The sequence below is a fragment of the Homo sapiens genome, chromosome 4, assembly GCF_000001405.40.
Source record: "Homo sapiens chromosome 4, GRCh38.p14 Primary Assembly".
In the NCBI taxonomy this organism is placed as follows: domain Eukaryota; kingdom Metazoa; phylum Chordata; class Mammalia; order Primates; family Hominidae; genus Homo; species Homo sapiens.
The window spans coordinates 101,971,249-101,993,921 of NC_000004.12; the positions used below are offsets into that span (position 1 = coordinate 101,971,249).

Below are 22,673 nucleotides of genomic sequence, written 5' to 3' on the forward strand. Positions count from 1 at the left end.
TGTGGCTTTTAATCAAGTGTGTCTCCAAATATTCTATTAAGAAAATGTGTAAAAAACAGAAAAATAAGTGAGAATCTATTTGGTGGAAATTCTGATAACAGCATAGACATATGGTAAGACTTGAGATACAGCCAGAAATCATTCTCTCATAAAAAACAATAAGATGAACATAGCTAGTATTTTCACATCTAAAACTATCCTAGGTCATCTCTCCACACTTAATTATTTCCTTTGCTGTGCAGAACCTGTTTAGTTTGATGTGATTCTGTTTGTCTATTTATGCTTATGTTGCCTGTGTTTTGGGGGTCAAATCCAAAAAAGTCATTGCCCAAATCAATGTCATGTAGTTTTCCCCTGGCAGTTTACAGTTTCTGGTTTTACATTTAAGTATTTATAATCCACTTTGAGTTGATTTTTGTATATAGTATGAGATATTTCATTCTTCTGCATGTAGCTGCATCCAGTTTTCCCAAAACCATTTATTGAAATGACTGTTCTTTTCCCATTATGTATTCTTGGCAGCTTTGTTGAAAATCAATTGACCATACTTGCATGGGTTCACTTCTGGGCTATCTGTTCTGTTCCATTCGTTGATACCTTTCTTTTTCTTGCCAGTGCCGTGCTGTTTAATTACCACAGATTTGTAGTATAATTTGAAGTCAGGTAGTGTGATACTTTTACTTTGTTCTTTTTGTACAATATTGCCTTGGCTATTTGGGGTTCTTTGTGTTTTCATGTTAACTTTAGGATCGTTTTTTCTACTCCTATGAAAAATGACAATAATTTTGATAGGAATGGTATTGAATCTGTAAATTGCTTTGAATAGTATGGACATTTTAACAATATTAATTATTTAAACCCGTGAACGTGGGATGTCTCAATTTATTTGTCTTCCTCAGTTGTTTTTGTGAATCTTTGATAGTTTTCAGTATATAGGTCTTTCACCTTTTTGATTAAATTTATTCCTAAGTCTTTTCTTATAGCTATTGTAGTTAGGATTCTTCCCTTGATTTCTCTTTTGGATAGTTCATTGAATAAACGTATTCATTGGCTAGTTCCTTTTTGGATAGTTTATTCTATAAATACATTTGTATAGAAATGCTACAGATTTTTGTGTGTTGATATTGTATCCTGCAACTTTACTGTATTTGTTTATTGGTTCTAACAGAGAGTCTTTACTCTAAAGACCTTATTATTGAAACTGCAAACATGTAATATACTAACACCTGAGCCCTCTTAATTACACTCATTGCCACCTCACTAAAAGCTGTCCACAGTACTAGAATTATTGTCTTTGCATTCTTAGGACAACCTAGCTTCACAATCCTATTCATCATCAATGAAAATCATCCCCCTTCTAATCAACTCAATTAAATGTTTAGCAGTCAGTAGTATTCCTGCCCGATCTCTTATCTCCAGCAACATTACTGTCATATCTATTCCCCAGATATGCCCTTATACCTAAAATTCACAGCTCTTGTCATAACTCATCTAGAATTTACAGAGGCAATAGAACTTAACCTTATAACAAATAATCTCAAATTTGAGTCCCCCTCACGTGCACATAAAGTAGGATTGCCAGCAATGGACTGATAATTACAAACTTCCACTGTGACAAATAATTCTGTGTTTTGTTTGTTGTAAGGTAACAGAAATAAGCCAAGCACCAAAAGACAAATACTGCATGTTCTCACATGTGGAGAGAGTAGAATAGTGGTTATGCAGGATGTGGGTTGGGGAAAAGGGCAGCTGATGGTCACATGATGATCACAAGGTACAAAATCTCAGACAGGAGGAATCTGTGGTGGTTTTTTTTTTAGCTCTATTACCCAACGTGGTAAATATAGTTAATAATAGAGTATTGTACATTCCAAATTTTCTAAGAGACTAAATTTCAAATGCTCTCACCACAACCAATGTCAAGTATTTGAGGTGATGGATATGTTAACTAGTTTAATTTAATTATTCCACATTGTATTAATAATTCATAATACCACTTTGTGCCTTATAAATTTACATAATTATATATTATCTATTTATAATTAAAAACTACAGCCATCATAGATTTTTACTTTATTTATACAAATAACATTCAAAAAAACTTAGAGTAGATTTTATGATCTTTATTTTACAGAATAGGAAACTTCAGCTTATATTAAGTAAGTTGCTCAAAGCCATACAGTCAATATGTTGCATAGTTGAAATGTAAACATGACTGAGTCCAGAGCTTTCTTCCTGAGCCTCTAAATTCTACTGCCTTAGTCACTAAACTTTCCTGCCTGAAGTATTTTTATAGGAATAGAAGATCAGTAAATAAACTATTTTATGATGTGGAAATTCCAGGAAATGCTAAATTTTCCTCTAATGGTGGAAAATAGTCATTTTGCATTACTTTCATAAGTTTTTGAGTTCCCTGGCTCTTTTTCACATTATGAAAAAATCCCCAGAGTCACATATAATATAACTCATTTCGGGGTTGTTAATGTTATGAAATGTTGAGTTTTATAAATGGAAACAAAAGTAATATTATCTTTTGCATATAAAACATTTCTACATAGTCTATGAAATAGAAAAGACAATCATATTATAGTTGGTCCTTTTTTTAAATGGCAAAATTGAGTGAGAGGGCTCATTGACTTCCCTAATCCTAACTAGCTACTGAATTTCAGACCAATGCTCTGTTAAAAAGTGATATTCCAATTATTATTAATCATTTAACACTGAAAGGTTTTAACAACATAGCTTTTTACCTGGTATTAATTATTATTGTTGTGTTAATTGAACCCAGTACCTGGCGTAGGGTGGGTGTTCAGTAAATACTTATTGTCTCAAGGAGAAAAAGAATGTATTATTAAATGAATTTAAATAATAAATATTCCTATTTAGAAATATTTAAATACTTTCTCTGCTTCTTTTCCATGTAATAATCTTGTTTTATGTCAAAAAACCTAACTGAGTGGAGACAATTGAACTGAAACAACTATTTGTTTATTCTTCTATTCTTCAGTTATGGAGGGCAGCATTTAGCTATTAGCCGCTTTCACTCCTTTTACTTTAATCATTTCCCTCTCAAAATCATAAACATGTTTGTAAACAACCTGCCTAAATACTATAAAATTTCTGCCACATTGGATAAAAAGCAGAGAGAGGAGTTGTAATGTTCATAATACCTCCTACCTTTTCATCAGTTTAATCACTAGAGCAGTGCAAGTTTATCTCATGTCATCACTAGCTTCTTAGATTGAAAGTAAGATTGCCAGCAATGGACTGATAATAACAACCTTCCACTGTGCCAAATAATTCCATGGTCTCCAATAGTTTGTTGTGCAGTAACAGATTTTTGCCAGTAATGTTATATGGCCCTAAATCTAATACATTTTAAACTGTAGCTCTTGTGTTATGTCTTATTGAGATTCTACTCTACCCTTTGTGATACTGACTTTTTCATTATGAGTTTCATCTTGAGAACATAGCTCTATACCTGATGTCAGGAGTTCGAGACCAGCCTGGCCAACATGGTGAAACCCCATCTTTACTAAAAATACAAAAAAAAAAAAAATTAGCTGGGCACGGTGGCAGGTGCCTGTAATCCCAGCTACTCGGGAGGCTGAGGCAGGAGAATCACTTGAACCTGGGAAGTGGAGGTTGCAGTGAGCCAAGATCATGCCGTTGCACTCCAGCCTGAGCAACAAGAGTGAAACTCCGTCTCAGAATAAATAAATAAACTGAAACATTTAGGTGCAGTGTGCTCATTGTAACCTACAAGCCAAACTAATAAACATGGCTTCCCAATTGCTTAACAAAAGAGAGAGAGGGACTGGGGGAAAAAAATCTGCTTTATTCTAAAGCCATTTTCAGAGATGTCAGTGGAAAAATTCTCCAAAATCCTTAGAAGGAAGAACTGACTTCACAAGTAGTTTCTTCTATGATAGGAGAGTTCATCTAAGCTTGTTTTAAATAAATCATATAAGCAGATTTGGAGATAACATTTAGATTGTCATTAAACACATTTAGCTAACTCTTTTTTCCTTTTATTCAGACTGAGAGCAATGATATAAATTATTTAACTTCATCAGATCTCCAGTTAAAGATGAGTTGTTCATGTAAGTCTAGACTATCTAAATTATGCCCATCATAAAGGCTTACTGCTTTTTATATTTCCTCTGGTCTTGAAGCCATTACAGTTCATTAGAGAGATTGTAGAATATGGTGGTTAGAGCATGGAATGTGCAGGCAGACTTCTTTGGTTCAAAACTTTGCTCTGCCTCTTTCTAGTTATTTGTCCAGAGACAGTTCTCTCTGTGTCTGTTTCCTCATCTGTAAAATGGCAGTGCTAATAATAAAATCACCACCTTCATAAGATTATTGCAAGGACTAAATGAGTTAATGCATTAAAAGTGGTTTTATTAGTGGCTAGCAATAACACTCAATGTTAGCTGGAATTATTATCATTTGTTTTATTTGCTGGATTTTCTGATAAGCTGAAATCTTTTTGAGTGCTGTTTCTGCTCTTTATCCTTAGTAATGAGCACAGATCAAGGATGTGGCAAATGATCAATCACTTTATTAAATGAATAAATAAATGAATATTCATATTGTTATAATGAGAATGGAACCAGTGACTGATTATAACCACCAATAGTGTTTGATAACTTCCGTCCTTTCTCTGTGCGAATTTCCGCATTCAGATATGCTATCCTTTCTTTTAGACTCTCAAAGGTCTTTTCTCAAAGACCTTTTCCTACAACATATCCTCCCCAAACCAGGGGAAGAAGCTGATTAGAAATTAATTCATTCAGTAAATAATTTTCAGCACCTTGTATGTGTATAAACTAGCGCTGAAAGGCATTTAAAGAAACATCTCAGGTTTCCAGTTTGTCCAAAGATCTGAAGTTCCTGTGGTCATAAGCAGTGAATTAGAGATATTGCTCTTTGTTGCCTCTTTTCAGTATTCTAAATACAGCTTGGCTGTCTCTGGATCTATACTTCAATGCCACAGGGAAAATCGATAGTAATAACACAAGATGCTGAGAGTAGGGGTTAGGTTTCTCCATTTTCTAAACTAATCTTCTAAGTCTGAGACTTTCCTGTGAAGTGGGAAAGTATTGAACTATCCAGGATTCTGATTAATGCTGGCAAAGAATACACAAAAATAATACACAAAAAGATGGCTGAAGAGATTTTGAGTTATTTTAATGGCATATTTAATTCAGAGAGTACATGTAGAATTGGCATCCTGACATTTTCTTTAATTTTCTAGCCAGAGTAAAGTATTGATTAGACAATTTTCTGCTTTGAGCATTAATATATCTAAATGGAAATTTTGGATAATAAAGAGTCCAGGTTTGCTCCCTTCACATGCCAGATAAACATCATATTTTAATTTGCAATTATAAATTTCATTTGATTATCACTAGAATGCCATATGCTTCCTATGAATATCATAAAATTTATCTGAGTTTAGTCAGTTTTATAACTGGTGCTTCTGAAAATCTTATTCTTTAGAACAACAATGTTAAGAAAATAAATCATCTGCAAACTTAGTCAAAACAGGCATGTCATGTGGGCAACTTGTAAAAGATTTAAAAGTATCAGAGATTTTGTATGCAAGCTGAATCTTACGGTGGAATATTCAGGTAGCATTATTTTACAGGATGCAGTATTCAATTTATTTCTATTATAACAAAAGTAATAATATGAATCAGCAAATATTATGAATTAGAAAGTAAAATTACTTTAGTGTTGTGAAAGTCATCCAGATTTTGTGCATCTAATTAAGTCTGATGCATGTAGTCAGGGATGAAGAAAGTCCCTGAATTCCAAGAGATGCTGTTTCAGTCAGGATAGGCTAGCTGCAATAACAGAAAACACAGAATTCTCAGTGGCTAAAGATGACACTCATTTACACTGCACATTGAAAGCAGTTCAGCTTGGGGCTTCTGCTCATCATAATCACTAAGGACCCAGCCTGGCAGACTTCATCATTACTCATATTTCCATGCTTCTTGCAGCATAAGGAAGGGAATGTGGTGAATCACACACTGGTTCTTAAAGCTTCCTGACAAAGCCAGGCACATGGCCAAGCCTAACTCAAGGAGGAGAGAGAAGTGTAGTCCAACTTTATGATGTGCCCAAAAGAGGAGCATCAAAATATTTTAAACAGCACTAATGACGCAGATTAGCCCCAAAATTGTTCTTGTCACTGTGGTCGTTAAATGTGACTATTTGTATCTTTTTCATCATAAACTGTGTTGTTATTTATTAAATCAAGATATTCCTGTGATGTGGCCCATTCTTCCACTTTATTGGCTATTAACTTAATTGGAGCATCAGGACCACAATTCTTAAGAATACAATTATTTCCAGACAAATGTAGTCTCTGAGTTCTTCTAATTTCTTTCTTTCATGTATTTTCTGACCTTATATCAATAAGATTACATGAATTACCATCCTGAGTGAGATCCATGGTCATTCCAGCCAAAAATCCTATCTTTAACAAAAAATGAGTCACTTATATTATTTCTCCATTGTTCTTAAAGACAAAAATGATAGAACTATTACAAGAATTGCTATTTTAAAAATACCTGATTCTATTTAGTGTGCATGAAGATGTATACTCACCACAAATCAAATATTTCTTCCTCAAATTTCAACAAATACCAATGAAAATTAGTATTAAATGTTTTAAAATTTAGGGGTTTTGTTTGTTTGTTTGTTTGTTTGTTTGTTTTTTGAGACGGAGTCTCACCCTGTCTCCCAGGCTGGAGTGCAATGGTGCAATCTTGGCTCACTGCAACCTCTGCCTCCCAGGTTCAAGCAATTCTCCTGCCTTAGCCTCCCGTGTAGCTGGGAGTATTTTCCAAAACATTTTTGAAAGTAATAATAAAAAAGTAGGTACTTAAAAAAAAAAAGAAAAAAAGAAAACAATGAAACTCTAATGATTTCATTTACTCAATTTTGTAATTCCAGATCAGAAAATGATGAACTTTATTTTTAGAATCACAGTATTTTAAAGCAGTTCTTCAAAGATCATACAACTCAACCTGATCATTTTATAAATGGGGAAACTGAAACCTGAGAAGTATACTAATAAACAGAGAGACTAAATTCTTGTCTCTGTAATATTAAATTCTGTAGAGGGAGATATTAAACAATTTAATTGCAATAATATATATGATGTACCTGGAAGGTAGTAAGTACTCAATAAACATTAGTTGCTATTATTACAATTATCGTTTGAAGGTAGTCCCCTATTCCAATTTTTCTCCCAATATTTAATTACCAGGCATTCTTAATACGTACATTTAGCTCTTGATCAAATAGTTCCAGATCTATAGAGCTTTTCAAGACACTTAGAAAGCTTTCTTGTTGTGTTTCTGAAATATGTTAGGAAAACTTAGGTATCAGTGACCGACCGTAATTTGTCATAGTTTCTTTCCATTGAAAAAAAAAGAATTGTGGCTTGACCACAATAATAGTTTTGATTGATTTTCTTATTTAATGCCACAGATTTTTGCTTAAAATATCTTTCCCATTGAAATACAGACTTAAATACAATATATTCCGTAGAAACACCAAATTTATGTCACACTTAACTAACATCACCAAATTTCAAAAATTAAGATACTGTGATATTTGTTTTTATCAATGTAATGATACATCCTTTAAGGTTTAGCTTTCCTACTTGTATTTAAAATTGGTAGATGTCATTTGCCAAAGAGGCTGGCTGATAATTAGATTTGGAATAACACATGACTTTTGCATCTTATTATCTTTATTATAAATTGTCAAAGAGTATAGGACATGCATAAAGAAGCAGTAATGCAAATGTTAGGCACAATCCATTTTATAAAATAAAGATCCAATATACCTGTGAAATATAAGATGAGAAGAAATAAATTTAAGATAAAGTTTGCAAGATAATACCTGATGTAATGTTCTATTCTCTGAAAAGAATGGTAGCATTGTTATATTTCACTGCAGCAAAGGCTTTCTTAAGAAAAAAAACAGACTGCCTCTGGTAGTGTTTAAAATTGTATAACATTAGTTTTTGACCATAAAAAATTAATTTGTATAAATTATTCCAGTGGAAACCAATAAAGCTGTGAATATAATCCAGAAAGAGAAAGAACAGTAAACAACCTGTTATTGTTCTGAGTAGAAAAACTCCCTGTTTCTTATTGAAATGTTGCAAATGACTCACAATACTATTAAATGTTTCCTTTTCATTGAGTCAATATTCAACATTTTTTTGAGAATAAGTTGTTTTCAGAAAGACATATAAACTGAGAGAAAATCATAAAGGGTTAATAAATTATATGAAATTTGCTATTTCAGTTAGATCACTAAAACAAAATCGTGACTATCTATGTCTATCTCTCTATATGTATGATTTTGATTCTCACATTCTTAAGGACTGCTAACATACATTTACATATGTGTATATGTAAGAAATTTAGATTTGTGTAAGTATATAAATAAATATGTATATTTTGATAGGGACTGCCAAGTTGCCCTCCTAGGTGGTGAACCAATTCACACTTTTACAAATTAATGAAGATTAGTGCCCAATTTCTTGGCTATAAATTGTCAAACATAGAATTTTGCCATTTTTTATGGGAGTAAATTGGTATCTGACTTCTCTTAGTATTACTCAGATGAAACATATTTTCCTATTGTTTCAAACTATTTGTATTACTTTTTCTATAAACACTTGATATTCCTTGCCCAATTTTGTGGTTGTTTTGTTGACTTGTTAGTCCTTTACTTCTTCATTTTGAAAAATTCTCTAGATTTTGGGGAGATTACCACTTTATAAGTGGCAAAAGTTTTTTTCTTATTTTTCTTTTGAGTTTGATTGCATTAAGTTTCTTCTTGTGAAGAAATTTATCATTTTTGTGTTGCCAAGTTCATTAACTATTTTTTGTGGTTTATAGATTTCTGTGTCAATGTTAGAAAATTACTCAAGAGACTCTAAAGAATTCTGCTAGGTTTTTCATAATTTTGTTTTCATTTTTAACATTTAAATCGTTTATCCATTTTGAATTTATCTTGGTTGAGTAAGTGAGGATTGGATTTTATTTTTTTCCTGAGTATCAATTGTCCCAAAAATTGCTAGTTTTATTTTTTCCCAGTGATTTTCTGTGTCATTATTTTTACATAATAAAATGCCATATATATTTGAGTTATTTTTTTTTTACTTTCTCTTGTTCTGTTGTTCTCTTTTTCTGTTCATAAATGAGTCGTGACAGTGTGTTTTAATCTGATAAGGCTGCTCCCCTCCTCCCGTTGCTCTTCTTTTGCAGAAGCTTTTTGGATATTCTTATTTATATTGTCTTGACATTCAAACTTTAGAAAAACCTTGTGTATTTATGAAAAATAAAATGTTACTGGGATTGCTTTTATTTATAAATTAAATTGAAACAGTTTATGTCCTTGTGATGTTGAGTCTTTCTCTCCAAAGAAACAGTATGTCATCCCACTTACCTTCATCTTCTTTCATGTTTGCAAAGATGGTTTTACATTCTTCTTTCTTTTTTCTTCTCTTTCTTTGAGCATTTTTGTTAAGTTTATTTCTCTGCATTTGATTATTTGTTGCTATCATGAATTGGTCTTCATCAGGATCTTCTAACAGATTATTGTTTACATGTAATCAAGGCTATTAATTTAAGTGTGCTGCTACTGGCATCTTACTAAATAACTTTGATGGTTGTATTAAATTTGTACTTGATTTTCATGAGCTTCCCAAGCATATGAGACATCATCTGCAAATATAGTGATAGTTTCTCCTCTTCTTTCCAATTTTAATATCTCTAATTTTGTCCTCTTGTGAATTGTAACTATTCACTGAGTGAAGTGTTATTTAATAGTTGATAGTGGGCATCCTTGCCTTGTTTCCAACTTTAGTGAAAATGCCTCTATTATTCTCCCATTGAGCCTGATACTCTCTCTGTGACTGAAATAGATGTGTTTATCAGGTTATATAACTTTTCATTGATTACTATTCTGAGAATTAATTTTTATTTGTCAAGAATGCATGTTGAATTTGGTCAAATACCATTTTAGTGTCAATGGAGAGAGGAATATTCTTTTTCTCTTTAGACTAATTAATATAATAAAGTAGTTGAATAGATTTAATAATATTGACCTGATTTTGTGTTCTAGGAATAAATTCCCCTTGGTCATGATATATTTTTCTCGTAATGTGCTGACGGCTTCTGATTAATAAATTTTATTATTTTAACATTGAAATGCATGAGTTAAAATGTTCTGTAGCATATGTTTTTCTGAAATCATTGATGATTTTAGCTATACATGTTTCAAATAGGATTTGGATATACTTTTTTATATGCCTTGGCACATTTTAGTAACACTGGAATTATATATTTAAATATTTATCCTGATCTATGGCAGAGGGTTCCTGGTGGGAGTTCCCTCATCGGTTAAAATGTTCTGCTTTCTTCATCATTTTTTCTTTCTATACCTTTTCTAAGCTACTATACTAGTTCTTTCATTAATACATGATATTCAGTGAGTCAGCTTTGAAGATATCCATCTACTGTCAAAGGAGCCAGGTTGTTTTACAGGTTCACCAAGTTTTGGCTGCCACAAAATAAGAAGGCTTCCTGAAAGCACTGCTGCTTGGCATACTTCTTGTAGTAACCCTGTCACCGTCTGCTTTTTGAAGCTAAACTAGGTATGTGGTAGGGTGTGTGTGGGTAGGGATTGTGGTTCTGCTCCCACTCAGTTCCCCCATGCCTCTCTTATTACCAGCAAGGCTTTAACCCCCTGGATGGGCCCCTTGCCATGAGGAAGTGTACTTGTGCTCTTCCTCCCTGGGTCTGCTGCAGCTGCACTCTCTTTGCAGGGATCTCTTCTAAGCTTCCCTCATTTTCCTTCTGTTGGCTCCTATAATGAATTAGTAGCAGCTTTGGCAACCTTTTATATTTTATGGTGTCTTTTTTCTAGTTTCATTAACAATATTTTAAATATTTTAAAGATATTTTAATCTATATAATAAAAACATATTTTAATAATAATATTTTAAGACAGAACTTTAACAACCCATATAAATTGGCATTGATGGTCTATGACTCTGACATTGGTCAATCTTTTTGTAGAAATAAAAATTATTAGGCCTATTAGTGGCCTGAAATGCCTATCATTATGAAGTTTAGTAGAGAATTCTTTTTCTATTTATTGTGCTATTTATCATACCTAAGGAATACTTCAGCTAAGTAGGTATACATTTGTTTGACAATAAGCAAATATGATTTATTTAAATATTAGATTCTCTTTAACACATATTGTAGGCAATCAATAACTTTTTAAAGCACTTTTTTATTCGGCAAAAGTACTTACTATAGTACTTACTATAACACTCATAACATATACAGCTCCTATCACACCTTTGGATTATCATATATTTTACTATATCTGATTTGTTTCTGATTATGTCAAGAATACATCATTATTATGTAAAGAGAGCAGCAGTTGTATCATATTTCATTCCATTGACAAATATATTCAATGAATATAATCATTAAGTATAATTTAAAAATGCCGCCCAACCAATGCATCAAGTTAAACCGGTTTTACATATTTAATAATTTTATTCTAAGGCTATATATATATATGTATATACGCATGGAATTTCACCAAGATTATGTAGAAGCTTTCCCTAAATTCCCTAAAATTTAATCTCTTTAAGTAATGAAAATTTGTCCTTGAAGAATTTTCTGATAACAATTTTTAAAGATTTATTTTACTTTATTTTTATGCTATCATTTCCCAAGGCGCAGTATAACTATCCCCTAACAAATTGTAGTTTGGTTAGGCTTCAAGTTTAGTTTTAGGTTTGCTTTTCTTCTTATGCCTAATAAGTAATGGAAATATTTATCTTTAAAATTTTCTGTATGTGAAGCGCAAAGCCAAGTTATGGATAAAATGAAGTTAATATTTAAATTTTAAAATACACATTTATGACTTACTCTCAAATACAGCACTGACATTTAGCCATATTATATGCTAGAGGAAAATGTATGGAAATCTTTTAGAAGTTATTAGCAATTTAGTGCAGTGTTCAAAAGATCAGACTCTGGGATCATACTACCTGGACTTGAATCTTGTCTTTACCACGTAGTAGCTGTTGTGACTTTAAGCAAATTATTAAAGTTCTGCTCCTTAATTTCCTCATCCATAAAACAGTCTCTTCCACAATTTGTTCAAAACAAACTGTTGTGAGGATAAAGTGAGTTAATGTAATAAAGTGCTTACAACAATGCCTGGCAGCCATTATAATTTCAGTACAGCCCCTTCAGAAAATTGTTGGAAGACAAGATTATGAATAACTGACCTATTTGAAGTGTAGCATAGTATTCACAGATATTTAAAAGCTAACCATAAGATTAAAAGAAACAAATGGACCTGATTAAAGACTTCCTATCACAAAGGATTTTTTGGAAGAAGGGAGAAAAGATGTTCCAGATATTTAACACAGAGCAAAATTATTTAGCTGAAAGCATTAGATTTGTCAGTGCTTCAAAGCCTCCCCAAATTAGCTTATTTACTTTCAATATTATTTTAATTAATTTGTCAAAAAGTAATCCAAATAACATATTGGATAGCATTAATGCTTTGGCAAGGGCATAATAGCAAAGAATAGTACTGAGAGGATAATATGAAAGCCTGAAGTGCACAAGAAAAAAAATTCCAGAGCCAATCATAATATGTTCTGACTGTATTAAATCACAATGTTTACATAGATAAGAGAGGGGAATGTATAACTAGCTCAAGACATGCTGATATCAGATATGAAATGCATCTAGTGTAGATAAGCAGAGAATTTCATTTATATTACAAGAAACTAAACATTTATTAGTCACAATTTTACTAAAATACTATGTAAGGCTTAAGTTGCCACACTTCCAAAAGGACATAAAAGACCTAAGAAAGCTCGAAAAAGAGGAATGAAAAGTTAAGAAACCTTTAGTAAAGAAGCCCTGGGAAGAAAGTTAAGGATTAGGGTAGTTAGCCTAAAAAGTAGAGGCCAAGATCAATATTATCCTCCCTTTTAGAATATGGTGGGATTTTATGAAAATGACACTAAGTAGTTATTCTCTTTATAGAAAAGATAGCTAGCTTCAGCTTTAAGACCACTAACTTACCAGGAAAAGCTTTTTGTTTTGATGAAGATTTTCTATCCAGAAAATAAGGATATTATCTCATTTACCATTGACCTCTCAGAATTATTATACACATAACATGCAATTTGCAATAAAAGTGCTAAGTAGTTTTGAAGTAAAAGCACTAAGGGATGTTATCATTGCTGTCATTGATAGTGTTATGGAATAACAGTAATTCTTAGGGAACCAACTTAATTAAAGACAGAATTTCAATTAGATCTAAGAACAAACTTGCTGATTATCACTGTGATAAATGTGAAAATGAGATTCTGTGGGGAGGAATAAATGCCATCTTCATTCTCAGAGACCTTTCAAAACAAAAAGAAAACCATCATCCTAGGTTATTTTAAATAGCTATCTGCATAAGAAAAAGGGGGCAGGTAGAACAAAATCCTTTGAGTCTTTTTGGCAGTTCTGAGATAATGTAATCACGAATGCGACCTGAAGTGACAACTACTAGGAAAAGATAAAAGCCTATAACAATCATTGATCCTATGAAGAGTGGAGCAGGATATTTAACCATGTATACAATCTGTATTAGATTAGGTTCTCCAGAGAACAGAACCAATAGGAGATTTCAACAAGAGAGAGAGAGAGATTGATTTACTATGAGGAATTGGCTCACATTATTATGAAGGATGCAGTCAGCAAGCTAGAGACCCAGGAGAGTTGCTAGTGTGGTTCCAGTCCAAATCTGAAGGTCTGAGAACCAGGAGAGCCAATGGTGTAAGTTCCAATTCGAGTCCAAGTTTAAAGAGAAGATCAACATCCCAACTCAGAAACAGACAGGCAAGACAAAGAATACTTTCTTGTTCAGCCTTTTATTCTATTCAGGTCTCAACAGATTGGATGTGGTTCACACACGTTGGAGGAGGGTAATTTGCTTTACTCAGTTTACCAATTCAAATGTTAATTTCATCCAAAAACGCCTTCACAGATCCATCCAGAAATAATGTTAACCAACTATCTGGGCACCATGTGGCCTAGGCAAGTTGATACATAAAATTAACAATCACTAAATCTGGTTTTTTTTAATTTAGTTTTCAAAATTTATTACTACTTAATAGTTATTAAATCCCCATAGTAGGATTTCATAATATTGGGTAAAGGGTGTTAAATTTTAACTTGTGTTCTAGAAATGAGTGCTACTTGCTAATGTTATTATTTAATTGCTGCAGTATTCATTGACTTGCTTTATACCTTGGAAACATTTTTCAAGTTGATGCATGTAAAAATATTGCATGTTCAATCATGTTTCCATTTATGTCTGTTATAATCAGTGTAAACTTTCTTCCAAAATGAAAATAACATGAAATTAAAAAAAATAAAAATCTACATTCAACATCTAATAGATTTCCAATGTCAGATTTCTGACATTAATTATAAATAACATCTACCTCTAGCAAAATGAGTCTTTGTTTACTTTATGCATTTATTGAAGATTTATATTTTGTCAGATTTCAAAGGATTTGAGAGAATCCTTAGTAAGCTAAGAATCAAGGAAACATTTAAGGATAAAAGAGAACTGCATTCCGAAAGCATTAATTCACTTACTCCATTCAGAAAATATGTATTTAATGTCTACCAATCATTGTAATGGGATCTTAGGAATATGAAGGTGAATAAAGCATAGTTCTTCCCTTGGAGAAACTCAAAACTCTCTTACTGATCCATAAACAAGTAATTTAAAGTGCTCCAGTGAATATTTGTGTAAGGGCTAATGTATGTGAGAAAGGCACCAATAAATGTGCATATAAAGTGCTATGGGACCTTTGAGACAGGTATTTTAGGCATTCAAGACACACATGTTCCTAAAATAGAGCTTAAGTATTAGACAACAGAAACATACAGTTTTAATGCATGGAATAGACCTTCTTAATTACATTCCTGCTAACTCCCTAGATACCAAATGGCTCAAGCAAACCAGGTTGCTCACTGTTTCTGTCTTACTCCTTACTTTCCTCCCTCTTCATGAAATAACATGAATGAAAAAACTCACTGCCTTCTGGGGTCAGACAAAATAGGATTCAAATTACATGGATCTTGCTGAGCTTCAGTTTCCTTACTTTAAAAATATGGATGATAATTTATCTCTTTGAATTTTTTCGATGACAAGAAATAGTAAGAGTAAATGTACTTGGCATTTTTAAGCATTCAGTAATTGGTAATTATTATTATTATTCAGATGCTCTCATGCCATACTCTGAACTGGGCTACCCTATCACCAATACCACCTCATAAAATTATTTCTGCTTTTGAAGCTCTATATTTCATGTCAAACTTATTTCTCATTTACTCTTTCTTCTAATGTGATTGATCCTCTGCTACATAGGAAGGTTTTAAATTATATATGTGTGTATATATATGTGTATATATATGTATATATATGTGTATATATATGTATATATATGTGTATATATATGTATATATATATGTGTGTATGTGTGTGTGTGTGTGTGTGTGTGTGTATATATATATATATATATATATATATATATAGTAGGCTTGCCAGTAAATATATTTTTTAAGTTAAGTAACCTCAACTTGTCTAGAAAGAACAAAAGAAAAAAAAAAAGGAAAGAAAAGCTATGTCAAGAAAATATTGTGATCTACCAGAAGTTGCCCAACCAATTAGAGACAAAAGTATGAGGCTGGAGCTGGGCTTCCTGATGTTTAGTATACATGCTGTTGTCTTTAGGAAAGATGGTTGCTTATCTTTACAAACAAAATTGGTCCTCAATCCTTCACTTTCCCAGTCCATGTAAGGAATTAGCCAAATGGGTAATCAGTCCAGTTAATTATAGAAAACACTTATTATAATATTTACTAGGGATTACTAAGTGTTCTGTGTGTGTGTACTCATTCAGTCTTCAAAGAATCTCATAAGTGAGGTGGACATTAATACTATACCCTCATTTATAAGTGAGGAAACTGAGTCACAGAGAGTTTATGTTACATTTTCAAGGTCTTGCTGATAATAAGTGGCAGAACCAGGATTCAAACCCAGCCTTGATGGCTTTAACCACCCAGTATACTCCCTCTTATTTTTCATATATTTTGATATACTCATTTAAAGCATATAAATACTAAAATATTCCATACCAATTACCAATTAAGCTTATCTCATTGGGAATTGTTCTTCCTCAACAACCTTGGCAGGAGTGTATCTTTGTATGATCAGTCCATGCCACTTGTTCAAGTAATTCTGAGAACTTTCTAAATGCAAAGAAGCTCCTCTGTTCATGACAAATATTAAAAAAAGAGCAGAAATCTTATTCTACCTCTGTTATCTTACTTTCATTTGCATCTGATACAGGTTTGTGAGAGTCATTAGACATCTTTATCAAAAATGTCCAATCCTCTTTCTGAACCTATGGTATCATTATACTTCCTGTATCCTGATGTTGGTATGGACACCAGGGTTGGTTTGGGCAACGAAACATGAGTAGCAGTCATGTGCGTTGCCTGTGGGAGAAAGCATGAAAAGCCAGTGCAAGATTCTCCACATCCCCTTCCCACTGCAGAAGTGATCATAGAAGCACTGGTTGAGCTAAAGCCTGAGTCCCAGAATAACCATGAAGAGCAGAGGCCTGGTGCACATCACAGTGACACATTGAGTGAGCAAGGAATAAATACTTCTTGAGTTAAGCCCCTGAGATGTTTGTGGTTGCTACCAAAACCGAGCTGTTTCTGTGTCTTTCAAGGATCAGTTATCATTAGAGATCCTTCATATGGTTTATGTTTAACGAAAATAGTTTAATTTTAGAATAGTTCTCAAATCCCGTGGTATTGTTTGACTCAAATTTTATGCTTTGTGAGTTTTCACAATATATGTTTTCTATAAATGTAAAGCATGAAAATATTTCCTAGGTGTTAAAACAGCTTTTAGAGTTCTAATTAGCACTGAAATTGCCTATAATTTCGCTTGTAGGGATGCTCCCTGAGAAATTTGAAGTTATTCATAATTACACATATGGTAGTGTCATTAATGTTCTGTTTTTGTTATTGTTGCTTTGAGTTGTTGTGAATGTTTTGTTCACTCTTCTCTTTTATTTGTAGACTGCTGGACATAATGTGCCTCAACAAAGTATTTTTGAAAATATTTTAGTACAACTCTTCATTAAGTTTTCAACTACAACATTTCCTTCCCACTATTATATTAGCTGTTCACTATAGAGGTTACAGATAATATGTGTATGTGTTCATCACAGTCTCTAAATAATTGTATTTTGACCAGTCCTTAGGAAACTTTTCCAAGGACTGTATTAGTCTTTGAATCATTCTAGCTTGGATTATTCTTGAATTTCATTTTTATAATGATCAAGCCCTTGATTATTCAAACTCACAGAAGAAAACAGCATGGTACATAAATTCAAAACTAGAACTGATCCAAGATATTAATTGGCTCTGAAAATTATTATGTAACGTTTTATTAAGGAAGCATCTTACATTTCAGACTTACAGAAAGTTACAAAAATATACTAAGAAATTACCATATACCCTCACCTAGCTTTACTGAAAGGTTAACATCTTATATAACATTCTTTATATAACATTATATAACATTCCTTATATAACATTATATAACAGTTTCCAAAACCAAGAAAGTAGCTGGCCACAATGGCACCCACCTGAAGTTCCAGCTGTTCAGGAAGCTGAGGCAGAAGGACTGCTTGAGCCAGCCTGGGCCAACATAGCAAGAACCCCCTGTTTCTTATAAAGCTCTTCTTGGCCAGGCACTGTGGCTCATGCCTGTAATCCCAGCACTTTGGGAGGCCGAGGCGGGCGGATGACAAGGTCAGGAGTTCGAGACCAGCCTGGTCAACATGGCAATACCCCGTCTCTATTAAAAATACAAAAATGTGGTGAGCACCTGTAATCCCAGCTACTCAGGAGGCTGAGGCAGGAGAATCGCTTGAACCCAGGAGGCAGAGGTTGCAGTGAGCCGAGATCATGCCATTGCACTCCAGCCTGGGGTACAAGAGCAAGACTCCGTCTCAAAAAAAAAAAAAAAAAAAAAAGCTTTTCTTGAATTTAAAAACCAGAAAAGCCAGAAAAGTAATATTGATACACTATTATTAATTAATCTAAAGAACTTATTTCAATTTTGTCAATTCCTGCTAATATACTTTTTGGGGGCCAAGATTCAAACTGGACAGAATACATTTAGCGTCGTGTCTCCTGAGTCTCATTTCATCTGGGACAGCTTTTTTTTTTCTCTGTCTCTCTTTCATGACTGACACTTTTGAAAATAGTTACTCTGTATAGACAGCCTCTCCATTTGGGGCTGTCTGACATTTTCCTCATGATTAAATCCAGGTTATGTATTTTTTATAAGAATGCCAGAGACGTGATGTCATGCCTTTCTAAGTGCATTATATCAAGAGACATGATGTTGTTATATCTCATTACTGTTGATGTGAACTTTGATCACTAAAACAACACACTGTCTTCTAGATTTCTCCACTACACAGTTGTTCTTATTCAACCAAAGATACTTTTAAATGGTTTCACATGCCTTCTCTCCTACCTTTCTTTTTTTCCCTCTTTCCCAAATATCATGTGAAGTGGTGATAGTAGAAAATTAGAAAGACACTAATTAAGCTGATGGATTCCCAGTATTAATTCTCCAATCCATTTTGTATTTTTCAGACTGTAATAATTAATGACTGCACTAGTGAAAAAGCAAAATGTTTGACTATGACTTTAGAGAATATTGGCATATAATCAAAAAGCATCTGAGGTACTATTTGGATATACAAGACAAATCTAATTATTTTCCTTGTTCAGCTTATAAAAAACAAAACAAGCAAAACAGCAAACAAAAGCAATACTCTGGCTCTAACTGTGAATTAGCATGAATGACTTTATGATTATACATTTTTCTCATGTAAAGAATTTTTGTTTTGATGTCCCTAAATGCTTCAAAATATATTGCATTCTGTGGTTACTCTGCAAATCTAATAAACAAGAAGCCTTTCCCCTATGACTTCCAAGATACCTTCCTTAATTTTCACCATGGTCACGTTAAAACTTATTGCTATTGTATTCTTCACAGAACAAGCATTGTCATTTGCAAACTTTCTGGAAAATGAATTGTCATTTGCAAACTGTTTTGACATGTGAAAGATGGAGTACATTTTTCCTTATAAATCTTTTTCTTAGGAGAATTTTAGGAGCTGCAGAAGCAGTCTACCTGTGGTAAAGCAAGGAAGATCTATATCCAAAAATCCCATGTTTGAATCCTGGCCTTACTTCCTACAAACTGCTGTTATACCTCTATCAGCTTTTACAAAGTAGATCATAGAATGCAATATATTTTGAAACATTCAACATCATCAAAATATAAGTTCTTTATGCAGAAAATTTAGGCAAATTATTTATCTTTGCCTCCATTTTCTCATACATAAAATTGAGATGATGATGGTATTTAACTCATACCGTTTTGTGAGGATAATAAGTTAAATCACGTAAAGTGCTTTAACAGTGCTTGGCATGCAGTAGGTATTCAATAAAATTAACTAAAAATGCTGTCTCTAATAATAGCTTCCATATGTTGAAGACTTCCTCAATGTAAGGTACCATGCTGGGAGTTTTCATGTATTAGGCCATTAATCTTTATTACAATCATTAGTTAAAAAGTATTATCCCCGTTTTGTATATGAGAAAATGAAGGCTTACAATAGTCATGTAACTCACCAAACCCCACACAGCTGGTGAAGGACTGAGTTGGGATTTGAATCCTGTTCTCTGAGACTCCAAAGTCAATTCTCTTAAGCCCTGTGCTATACTTGCCTTCCTTAGGGTGTGAACCCATAAGAACCCTTCTCATTTAGAACTTCAAAGAAAACAAACCTAGAGTTGATTATAGTAGCTTTTAAAACTGTAGTTGATTACAAGTTAAAGTATGAATAACTTGCAAGATAAATACTACTAGCAGGCAAGCCTGCTCACACTGTCTCAAATAAGCTCTTTATATTCCTGGGTGGATAAGTTGTTTTTGTTTTTGTTTTGTTTGTTTTTTACTTTTTACATGAGTAGATTTAATTGGGTAAGGGTTAAAAAGATATAGAGATAAAGTTGAAAATGTCTTCTACATTCCACAGGATTATCATTTTTTTGACACTCTGACTTTAAAAATGAGCCCAGGAGGTGGTTTAATTAGCCTATGGACAAGTGACCTTGTGGAACTGTATCTAATTCATACAAGCCTCATGCCATAAGGCCCTGTTAGCCTTTCCAAGCATTCCACATGTGCATTACACAAAACAATTCCATGTATATCTGGGGGCAGTGGGGGTGGGGAAGAACCAGCAAGTAGAACTTTTCAAAGATGAACAGAAACTATGGATTTGTCTATGTGTATGTTTGTGTTTGTACACATACGTGTGTATTTGCACATACATGTACATGTCTGGTTGGGTCATCTCTTTCTCATCGCAGACCTAGTCTTTAAGGGATACACAGAGAGAAGGTTTCCATGAAATACTCACCACCACCTACAAACATGTAAAATTCTGCCTGAAGCCTGAGAGCAAATGAACCACTGCCTTTTGGTTCATGTGGGTATGTAGGACATAAGAAATGCTTTCAACCCATGTTACGGAAACCCTTCAATTTGCAGATGAAAAATAGGAGGCTCAGGGATGTTTAGAGGCTTGTTAAAATTATTTGGCTAGTAGATTGTCATGCTAAAAATTGAACTCAGTTTTTATTATCACTCTAATCATGTGCTTTTCTTACTGAACCATGTTGACATTTTAGTTCAATGGGAAGAACAAAGAACAATGACTTTTAAAACTATAAATCAACAAGAATGTTTGTGAAATCATGCATTGATGACCAGTGGATTTCTCAATAAAATCAACTATGAATATAATTTTAAAAAGAAGGGCTACAAAATAATGTAGATATTTGTAAGTAAAACCTCCCAACCAAAATCACAAAATCATGGCATAGGAAATATGGGCACAATAATATTTTTTTGTTCAGACAAAAATATCTTGGATTATGTACTTTTAAATTCAAAATTTTTTTACCATTATCTTACCAGTCTTTTTATACAGCTTGTGTTTAGACATAAGCGTGATGTGTGCAGCAGTTCATAGAAACCATGTTAGAAAAGTTCATAGAAACCATGTTAGAAAAGCACATAGAAACATTATTCAGGATTTTTCTTTTTACATATCTCTTTGGAGTATGACTAATTCTGCACACAACTTCTCCCCACCTGGCTTCATTTAAATTGCAAATAAATAAAGAACAAGATGATACATTTCCCAAAGTTCATAACATATGCTAGATGACCTGCTAAACATCAAAAGATAATGGAAGTAAATATCTATTACTTAAGCTTCAAGCATGTTTTTATTTTGTGTCAAAATATTATCTGATTCCTCAAATACTCGGAGATCTAAAAAAGGTACTTAAGAAGCACCACCACCACAATGGTGAACCAACTATCTCTGTCGCCCAGAACTGAGGGTTTTCCTAGGATTCAGGACTTTCAGAGCTAAAATTTAGACAGTCTCAGGTCGATCACCCTACAGTCGTCCTAAATGTGTAGGTTCACAAGCCCTTTAGGAACTGTTGTTGATCCCCTGGACAGCTAATCCAGACCACTCTTAACGGCACAGTTGGCTCTCATGGAGACCATAAGTTATTTTCCATCTTTCTGGGTCAGGATTTTATGTAATCTGTTAACTGTGAATCTAGTCATTGATTCTGTACTGGACCTGCCTAAGTGAGTGGCTGTAAGTATGCATGTCTGCATGCTCTAGTTTTGAAAGAAATGGGAAGTAATTCTAAAACAGGAGGCCTAAAACAGCTGGAAAAAGTTGTACATCGTTTTCTCATACTTTCTGGTTAGGCTTTCACCAGCAGTAGCAATCATCAGTAGCTTTTTGGCAATTTACTTTCTTCTCTCCTGAACTACTAGCCTAGTGAATCTCCATGAAACCCTTTCATTTTTCTGATTCTAGAATGCTTTGTTACAGAAAGCAACAGCAAGAGGGAAGTACAGCTTAGGGAGTAAATGTGGTAAACTGGGGCGTGGAGGTATACAGACTTTCAGGGCCTGACATTTTTAAATACATTGCCAAAGCTGACCAAGCATATTTCCTTTCCAGCATTAATAATTACTTGGCACTGAAGAAATGCATGCTGATAGAGCACTTTATGGTATGATATTTTATTATCTCTGTCTTGAAAAATTGTAGCCACTGATAATCTAATAGAGAGAAGAAACTCACTTCATTAATTTATTATAGCCCAGAATCCTGGGCAGGGCGTTTGATTACGGAGAATATTCCTTTATTTCTGCCAAATTAAAAAGCTGGCACAACACAGTAGATGATGTAAAGCTTTTGGCTAAATGCCTTCCAGATTCCATTTTCCAAAAGATCTACCAAGAATTTGCAGTTTAAGCTTTTCTTACCAATTTTATATTTGCTTGGTTTCTCCTGATTTATTTTTACTTTAATAACAAGC

The 22,673-nt window shown here is 33.3% G+C and overlaps 1 protein-coding gene and 1 pseudogene across 3 annotated transcripts in view, besides 1 other annotated feature; both read left to right on the forward strand.

Moving 5' to 3' along the window:
• Positions 1 to 22,673, forward strand: part of BANK1 (B cell scaffold protein with ankyrin repeats 1) — a 284,083-nt gene that overhangs the window by 180,519 nt on the left and 80,891 nt on the right. The gene's annotated exons all lie outside the window — the stretch shown is intronic.
• Positions 1,174 to 1,554, forward strand: MTND5P5 (MT-ND5 pseudogene 5; annotated as a pseudogene).
• Positions 5,891 to 6,091: a silencer, noted in NCBI's record as "peak5086 fragment used in MPRA reporter construct". NCBI's record gives its function as "represses an SCP1 promoter by STARR-seq MPRAs in K562 erythroleukemia cells {active_cell/tissue: K562}" and the evidence as "EXISTENCE:reporter gene assay evidence [ECO:0000049][PMID:32103011]".